This window comes from Homo sapiens, chromosome 1, assembly GCF_000001405.40.
Source record: "Homo sapiens chromosome 1, GRCh38.p14 Primary Assembly".
Taxonomy (NCBI): Eukaryota; Metazoa; Chordata; class Mammalia; order Primates; family Hominidae; genus Homo; species Homo sapiens.
Genome location: NC_000001.11, coordinates 173893873 through 173903597, shown reverse-complemented (window position 1 = coordinate 173903597; position 9725 = coordinate 173893873). Strand labels below are relative to the sequence as shown.

The 9725-nt window shown below is 38.7% G+C and overlaps 1 protein-coding gene across 9 annotated transcripts in view, besides 1 other annotated feature; it reads right to left on the bottom strand.

Moving 5' to 3' along the window:
* Positions 51-9725, bottom strand: part of ZBTB37 (zinc finger and BTB domain containing 37) — a 35466-nt gene continuing 25791 nt past the window's right edge. For all 9 annotated transcript variants that reach the window (NM_001369846.1, NM_001346115.2, NM_001395199.1 and 6 more), the window contains one exon: positions 51-9725. This exon is cut by the window's right edge. The gene's annotated coding sequence lies outside the window, so the exon portion shown is untranslated.
* Positions 8344-9543: an enhancer, noted in NCBI's record as "BRD4-independent group 4 enhancer chr1:173863193-173864392 (GRCh37/hg19 assembly coordinates)". NCBI's record gives its function as "activates an origin of replication core promoter dependent on BRD2, P300/CBP, MED14 and CDK7 cofactors, and independent of BRD4, by STARR-seq in HCT116 cells {active_cell/tissue: HCT116}" and the evidence as "EXISTENCE:reporter gene assay evidence [ECO:0000049][PMID:35650434]".

Here is a 9725-nt window from a genome sequence, read left to right as displayed (position 1 = left end):
AAAAATTTAAACAGATTAGTTTCTATATACAGAAAAGACAGATTCAAATCTGAGTATTAAACCATTTAATTCTCAAACCACTCACATGCATAATGTTCTTTTACACAGTGTTAAAATAAAGGGGAAAATGCATTTTTATACAAACAGAATTTCAAGTATACATTAATAGACTTTTCAGATTACTAACCAAGTTGCTAAGATTTCATTCACATTGTTCTTAAAGCTGTTCAACGAGAAAGCTTTTGCTAAACTGCTTTAAATATGTTTATATAAACCCATATTTTCACTCTTTCTTTGAACTCCCTCCCCCAACCCGAGTCTCTGCCCACCCTCCTGCCCTCCCCCCTTCCCCGACACGACAGGGGTCCTGGGGCTCTAGGAGACATGCAACCCCACCAAGAACTATTGGCTTGTCATCAGGGGAAGGACAGAATCTTACAGGAGGAGAGACTGAGAACACCTGTCAAATGAAGGGAGAACAAATCTGATACTTAGAAATGACACAAATCAGGATCGTGTCTTAGAGTCTTTGTGTTTTCACTTGATTTTTAATTTAAAAAATCTCAGCCTCCCACAAAACACCACCAAAGTTTCTGACAAATTGGTAGCTGTGAAAATAATCTTAGGTAGTTTTTCCCCAGTGAAACTTCCAAAATCAGGACAGGTATTTAGAACCCTTTTTCAATTTGGCGGTTCTTTTTCCCTTTGGCATGGAGTGGGGGCCACTTAAAAGTGGATGTTATTACTTGTGTGTTTACATTAAGAAATTTGGTTCATTTCACAGGGTCTGGTAAGAGCTCTCCCTCCTTAACTCTCCTCCTGAAGTAATCTGGTTTCAGGGCCAGGAACAGCCACTCTCCTTAGGAATTAAAGTGCATTTTTTTTCGGTAAAGGGAAAGAGGGGGAGGTGGAGGTTTACACTTAAGTGATAATGATTAAAGTAGGGTTGGGTGAGAGAAAATCCTACTCCTATATATAGGTATTTATAATTAAGGTCATAATAAAAACTGATATTCTTAGGAAATAAGATGCACAAAGCCAGTCTAGCACCCTCAGTGGTGCAAGAGCACTATTCTGGTTCACTGACTTTCCCGAGGCATCTTTACTATTAATGGAGTAACTGCTTCAGATGAAAAGACACAAATCTCAAACATTAGTTTTTTTCAAAGGGAAAAAACAGACTGGTAGGTTCTTACAGCTAAAAATACTCTATTCCATTCCCTTTCAGGGATAACATTTTAGAAACTGATTGTCTGTTTTAATATGAATCCTCCTTGATTAGCAAGTTGTAAAAAATATTAGATAAATTTGTTGTTTACAAATATTATGGTAGCCTTTAGAAACTTAGGAAGAGGTGGGCATAGTTGATCCTTGCTATCAATCAATATCAACTGAGAGGAAGTGAAATTTTCCTTTATTTGATCGCTACCATCAGAATCTTATTTTCTGACTAGTTTAAATGCTTTACAATTTCTTCTTGGGTTAAAAACCCAAGAGTTTCCCATAGAGAAGTAAATGCTACATTAACAGCTATACAAAGATGTGATGGGCTCAAGATGAGAAGGGGGATCTTGTCCTGGATTCTGGCCTCTGAGTCCAGTGTGATCTGCTTTTCACAGTGACCAGTGTGAAGGCACAGTGCCAGGGACAGGTAGATGGGGACAGCTGTCACCCATCATATAAGCACCATAGAGAACAGCTGGATAGATTTCTTTCAGACTATGTCCATCTGAAGGAAATCAAATTTCTGCTACATTGACTTTTCTGTCTTTGAACCCTCAGCCTTTTCTCCTCCTTTCAGAGGCAGAGCAGAGCGGGTCCCATTCAGAAATTATGAGGAGCCTGGAAACCTAAATGTTCTTCCAATGTACTCATTTAGAAAGAAATGCCAAAAACAGAGTTCTAGGCCAAGCACAGTGGCTCACACCTGTAACTTTAGGAGTCCTAGGTGGGAGGATCGCTTGAGCCCAGGAGTTTGAGACCAGCCTGGGCAACATAGTGAGACTCTGTCTCTAAAAGAAAATAGAAAATTTAGCTGGGCGTGGTGGCACATGCCTGTAGTTCCAGCTACTTGGGAGGCTGAGGCAGGAGGATAGAGTCCAGGAGGTGGAGGCTGCAGTGAGCTATAATTGCACCACTGTACTCCAGCCTGGGTGACAGATCAAGACCCTGTCTCAAAAAAAAAAAAAAAAAAAAAAGTTCTAACTTTAAGATTTCTTAAAGGGAAGGAAGCCATTAGTTCCTGATGTTCTGCTATCAGATTACAAAATAATGCAATGTGCTAAAACTGTGAACAGAGATCATAGCAGATGAAAAATTAATGGACTGAGAACACATTTCTTTTGCCTATAGTTTGGGAATGCTTTTCTTTCGTTGAGAGTAGGGGGATGGAGCAGGGTGGTGAAATAGTAGTACTCAAACTAACGTTTGTTTTGCTGTCTTAGAAAGGATTTCCTAGAGGTTTAAGAGGAATCAGCAAGCCAACCCATTAGGCAGAACTTGACCAAACTTCACAGTGCTGACAGGGAATTCCTGTTAGGGAATTTGTTTCATTCCTTGCTTAAAATATAGTACAAGTTTACGTATTTATCTTTTATCATTACTTCCCCACTCTGCTCTACTCTCTCCCCATAAAATCTTAAAATCCAGTGCAGTATAATTTGCATAAAGTTCAACAATGTTTCACAGTACTCCACAAGGTTCTTCAGTATGAAAACCCTAAGGGGGCTACTCTCTTTGGAGTCTCAAAGGCTATTGCTTTTCTACTCCACCAGTAACAGGAAGCCTTCAGCAAATTTTCTAAGGCATAGGAGGCATTTTCTTGGACACTGCAGCATTTACATGCTAAGCAAACAGCCAGGCCTTAGTGCTACTTTAATGAAATTTCACAGACTGATGCTAAGTCAGTCCTCTGCACTAACCAACTTTCTCCTTGACCTACTTTTTCTCCTTGCACATATCACCTACTGAAGTTCAAATTACCACGTACTTGTAAGCAATATATAAATGAAACTTTCCGTGGTATCCAGAATACTCTCAGAAGAGAGCCTGCTACATTTGAACTTGCTCTTAAATACAAATTTTCTTCATGAGTTAGAAGTCACTTGGTAGCTAGTTAGTTTGAACAGTGGTTCTCACTATTTTAGGGTAATAAAACAGTTCTCCCCTCTGTGTTGAGGTTGCCATGGGCAAGAAACAAACCCATTAAAACACGTTTACTACCTGGGATGAGAAAAATGAATCTGGAACCTCATTTGGGAGTTACTTGGTTAGGTCTTTGACATCCCAGAAGAAAGATCCTAAAATGACTCATTTCACATTTCATATATTATTCAGAAATACTTAAGCCTTAACTAGTTCATTTCATTCACAAAAAAACAATCCAAGAAAAGTGAAAGTTAACTGACACTGAAATCCCACTTAGAAGACAGGCTAAGAGATAAATAATCAAACATATTACCATCACCACAGGCAGGATCCTTCCTTTTCTCCATTAACAATGCCACCTGTTTATTTTACAAATAGAAATTGCTGTAAGCAGTTTGGGCTCTTTTAATATATTCAAGTGCTCCATTTCAGCTAGTTGAGAAATCTCCACTGAAACTACATATGCAAAAGAAAGAGGATTCTAGAGAAGGAACTTTGAAAATTTGTTTTGCTTATTTATGTGTACTTTGTATTTGGTATAGAGAGGAAACTGGATGGATGACAATATCTCCCTCCAGAATTATTCTGAGGACAAATGGATGATCCATTTTACTACCTAAGCCTTGACCCACTGTACACTTTGAATTGAGAGCCATGCATGGAATATCAATAAAGATATTTTCAGGTCAAAGAGGACTGGATTGAGGTTATCCTGCCATGACCACTAGGGATTACATAGGGAGTGATTCTCAACCTTGGCTGCACATTAGAATCACCTAAAGCCCAGGTTGCACAACAGACCAATAAAATGTAAATGTCTAGAGGGGGTCCTATGCAATTCTAATGTGCAACCAATATGAAGAACTGGGTCAACTAGTCCTGTAATAGAAAGCATAAGGCCGGTGTTCATCCAAGCTAGAGAGAGAAAAGGTAAGACTCCATGGCTTCTGTCCAGATTTATGGATTTAACATGCTGCAATCAAACTACCTAGGCATTTTTTCACTACTTTTTAAATAAATAACTGGCTGTAATAGGCAGCAACAGCAACAGTAAAGTACTGATTTAGGTAAGAAGGCTGCACCTTAAGTATGTGTTATAGCAAAAGATCAGGGGACAGGCCTAGGACAAAACTCTGGGCACAAACAAAAGATAAGCCAGAAGGAAAAATTTTCCTAAGCAGGAATTAATTCCTGGGTCTAGGATATTAGCATGGCTTATAGGCAGAGAACTATGCTACAGGTAGAAAAAAAAAAATAGTCGTGGTAAAAAGATTCATATAATTTAATTTTACCACTTCATCTCCCTACAAGATTCTTACTGCATTTGGGCAGAAATTACTGTATCAGTTGTTATTTGTGAGTAATGCTTGTCTTATTATTTGGAATTTCACATTCTCTGCATCTCCACTTGCCGTATCCAAAGTCACCAGGAAACTAAATACTTATCAGCTAGTTCCTAAAATACGGGAGCCAATCTCTAAAAATCTGAAAATGGGTCACTCTCTCATTTCACTTCTAACCAGAGAATCCCTGTTTAGACATTTAGACAATATAATCAGTGTATTAGGGTAAAAAGCATTTCCACAAGTAGAAAGCATTCTAGGATATCAAAGGACCAACAGTTCCTCCTTAGCTGTAAGAAATATTAGAAAAGTGGACAAGTTGACTTGGCTCAGTGCACTAGTGCCCCAAACAGAAAATAAATTGAGTGCTACAACTGGATTTAAAGATTAGGTGGTCTGCCTGGTGGCATATTACTATTGAAACAACTTTCTGACACCTACAACATTCAGGTGAGGACATCATGACTATTATGACAATATTGACCTTAAAAACAAGAATATCTCTCTTTGGAGAGATTAGAAGTAAAAGAGGTCATCTGAAAATCCATCATGGGCCAGGTGTGGTGACTGGCACCTGTAATCCTATCACTTTGGGGAGGCTGAGGTGGTAGGATCGCTTGAGCCCAGACTTTTTTTTTTTTTTTTTGAGATGGAGTCTCGCTCTTGTTGCTCAGGCTGGAGTGCAACCGTGTGATCTCGGCTCACTGCAATTTCCACCTCCCGAGTTCAAGCGATTCTCCTGCCTCAGCCTCCCGAGTAGCTGGGATTACAGATGCCGCCACCACACCCAGCTAATTTTTTGTATTTTTAGTAGAGACGGGGTTTCACAATGTTGGCCAGGCTGGTCTCGAACTCCTGACATCAGGTGATCCGCCTACCTCAGCTTCCCAAAGTGCTGGGATTACAGGTGTGAGCCACTGCATCCAACCAAACCTAGATGTTTAAGACGAGACTGGGCAACATAGGGAGACTCCATCTCTACCCCTGCCCCCCAAAAAAAAAGAAGTTGGGGATTCAAACAAATGTTACACATCATTAAAAGGAATTAGGTGTTTTAGTCTTTAAAAACAGACTTGACCTCCACTGGCTACTCCTGCCAAACAGAAGCCAGTGGATAAAAGCAGTAAACCGGGAGAAGTCTGTAGGAGACAGAGAGAGAAAAAAAAGCACTAAACTCAAGTGTTCTGACATTGTTTGATTTGGGCAACAAAATTAAATATTGATATCTGAACATGATAAGAATTTCAGATACTGCAGCCTCTCTATTTTGGGTCTGGCTTTCCTTTGCTTGCTACAGAAAGCTATACTCTTTCTTCAGCCAAGTGCTCAGAGGTAGAGGAGCTGAAGTGAGTATAGAGAAGAATGGGGTAGACAGTGGCTGAGGAATCCAGCTTCCTGCCCAAGGGACTACAGAGCAATCTTGAATATGCTCAGTCTCTAGTGGGAGGTAGGATATTCTACACTGACTTTTATGCCTTCACGAAATACCTTTTTCTCACATACACACATAAACTTACACATACATAGCTGGCAACTCACAGCAATATTGCAATTCACAGCAACAGTATACCTATCCCAACAGCCACTTTCAACCTAAGTTTTATATTAATCCCCAACCCTACTCAGGTAGATGGCAAGCCAAATTTATTTTTTTGAGGTCCCTCCTTTTGCCAGGTTTGAAAACATACATTTCACTTTTACACCTACATCTTTTTTCTCTAAAGAAAAGCTGCATTAAGTGGGTGCATTGTGTTATAACATCTTTACAAATAGAAAGTGCAAGAAATAATTTTCTTAGCCAAAATACCAAGTAACAAAAAGCTCTCATAGCCTACTATGCCAAGAATTTGATTTTTAGAATTAATGATACAGCTAACAAAATGCTTCTGTGCTACCAAGGTCACAGTAGATGACTAAATATATTTATAAACATACATGAAAAAATAGCCAAACTTCCCATAAGTTATTTGCATGAACTATCTTTAGTATACCCACTCTGGGTTCAATGCACATGCATATACAATGGAATTATATTAGTGTTATTTTTATTGTGCCAGTTTTCCAAAAAGAAAACAGACTTTTTAAAAAAAATTCGAGTTACATGATTTAAAATTATTTTTGTAAAAATATTAGAAATGCCATATACATTCTAAATATTTCTGCTATCTAACAGATAGCCATTCTAGAGACGGACTTCAGTCACACTATTAGTGACCCCTTTTTTAGCATCTTGGCTTCCAGAGGAAACACATTTTAAGCTTTGTTCCCTGCACTGCAATTCTGTTTTTTCAGTGGTTCTTAAAGAACCACTATAGTTAGGATTCTATTACTTTATAGGAAACTCAGTGGATCATCTTCAAATATGTCATAAACATCTGCTTCAAGATGTGACTAAAAGCAGAAATCTAAACCTTAAGGAATTTCTACTCACTCAGGTTGTTGTATTAGCTTGAAATGGTTTAGATTTGTGATGCTGAAAATAAAGAATAAATATTTGGTCAATCTACAAGGTTCCCCTTTTTCTGGCTTTGTTCTCTCTTGCAATTTAAGACCACATTTAAGAATTATTTAAATGAATAGTAAGAATTATTTTTCATGCAAACACCAAATGATTTCAAACTTAAATTCACAGAGAATCTATAGGAGGGCCCAAAGGGCTGTAATAGAGAATGAGAGACATTTCCATAGATCATCATTAAGATTTTTCATTCCCTGGGACAATATTTTCAAAGGCTTTCTCTGTCATAAAGGGCAGACTACACCAGAGTGGATTATACCAGAGTGGAAATGTGAATCCAAAAGAAAGTTTTAAGGCCTTTAAATTTTTATTCATTAAAATTTGTCCCTTAACATGTTAAGAATGAACTGGAAAAAAAAATAATTTGCCCTAATCTTTATATGATAAAATCTAATTAATCTTTATGCCTAAAAGCCTCAAACATTCCATCTCTGGTTATGCAAATACAAATGCCAAGGTCTTCTTTTTCCCTTCCCAGGACTTTGTAGGTACCCAAAATTAAGTCTTCAGCATTGAGTACCCCTTTATTTCCTGTATTTGTAATTGCTAAGGCCTGACCTAGGAACAGAGATCTCTTTACTGTGATAACTGCAGATTATCAGTAGGAAGGCCACACAGCTAATGCTCCAAGGATTCATTGCACATGGACTGGATAATCTCAAACCTTTCTTAAGAAGTGTATTGATTTGGGGTTCATCAATATGGACAATGAAATTCATTCTCTGTCCATATTTCTTCTCAGAGCAGGAACAGTCTAGTAAGACAGCACGAGTTTAAATAAGGCATCCTAAATCTGACACATCTAACCAAAAATCAAAAAACTTCAATGATCTGTTATTTTAAATGAGAGAGGCTGGTAACAACTGCCAATTTTAAAAGATTAACAACATATAAAATTGGGCGATGAATTTTCCTGTATGAAAGGTAACAAGAATGAAAGGAATTGATTCATCTTCGAGCACAAAATCATGCTGGAGGTGTAGAGGTAGAATGGGATTAAGATAAGTAGGTAAAACTTTTCACTATCTCAAGAATATGATCCATGTAGCCACCCAATAGAAACTCCTGTTGAAAGAGATTCAGCAGCCATGCAATGTTTCCATACCACAAGAGTATTCACCTATTTGTAAACTTAAAATACAACTGATATCTCCAAGAAATCAAATTATTTAATAGTAAGCTTTCCGGGCCAGGCACGTTGGCTCATGCCTGTAATCCCAGCACTTCAGGAGGCCGAGGAAGGTGGATCTCTTGAGTCCAGGAGTTCAAGACCAGCCCAGGCAACATGGTGAGATCCCGTCTCTAAAAATACACAAAAATTAGCCAGGTGTAGTGGCACACGTCTGGAGTCCCAGCTACTTGGGAGGATGAGGTAGGAGGATTGCTTGAGTCCAGGAGGTTGAGGCTGCAGTGAGCTGTGATTGCACCACTGCACTCCAGCCTGGGTGACAGAGTGAAACTCTGTCCTAAAACAAAAAACAAACAAAAAAAATGTAAGCTTTTTACTCCCTCTAGAGTATTTCTAGCTCCGCATGCAGTTACCGTGGCTTCAGAGCAAAACCAGGCAAATGTTCACAACTTGGAACACAGTACAAAATGAAAATTTTGCTATAAGATAAATGAAACTTGGAGGGAGAGGGCAGCAAATGAAGTATGCTCCAGATATTTGTCTCATTCTCCTTCTAGCTCCTTTAGTGACCCATGGTAGACATAATAAATGGTTTCTACAGCACAAACAACTGATGAATAAACACCAAAGAGTCAAGACAAAAAACAAAACAAAACAAAAAAAACATTAACACATTAAAAATAGCCCCAAGTCCTGGACATGCCTTCCATAAAGTGGTAGGGTATTTCTTCTCTCCTTAAATTTGGGCTGACCATTGAGTTCTTTTTTCCCCCTTCATTCTTGCTGTCATCTTACCATTAAGTTCTTCGACCAAGAGTACAGTGGTGGCTGTATGATAATTCTAGGCCTGGCCTTTAAGTTGACTAGATTCTTCTGCCCAGCCTTTCAGAGGCCTTAGCTGTCCTCGTAGTAAATCTGACTACCTTGATGAAGAGAACACATGGAGAGTCCTTAGACTTCATGGAGAGAAAGAGGAGACCTGCTGAGTCCATCCTTCTAGTCTCCCCACCAAAGTGTCAGGTATGTAAGATCGATCATCTTGGACACTCCTTCCAGACTTGTCTAACCACCTGCTGAATACCACCAGGTGACCTGAGTCGTTGTCACAGGGAGGAGAATTGCCCAGACAAGCCCTTCCTGGATTTTCTGATTCACAAAACCATGATATAGGAAATGGTTGATTTTAAGTAATTAAAATTACTTAATTTTAATTAAGTTTGTTACACAGCAATAGGTAACTGGAACTCTTTCAATTTTTGCCTTGATAGTACCTCACTCACTATTAGACCTAACCACACGGGTGACTCCCTTGAATCAGTGGGCAATATCCACTGAAAATATTCACTATTCAACTCTGCTCAGAGATCAACTGCATCAGCTTTTGAAGAACCTTCTAATCACTTACTCTTGAATTACACATTCACAAAAAGCAGTACTGTTCCTGGCTACTGTATATTCCAGTCAACTTCAACTCTTGATAAGTAAATGGAGTCAATATGACATCATGCAGATAGTCTGGGCTTTGGAATCAAGATTGGTAAATATTGGCTCTGTAATTTACCAGTTATGTAACCTTGGGTTCATCAGT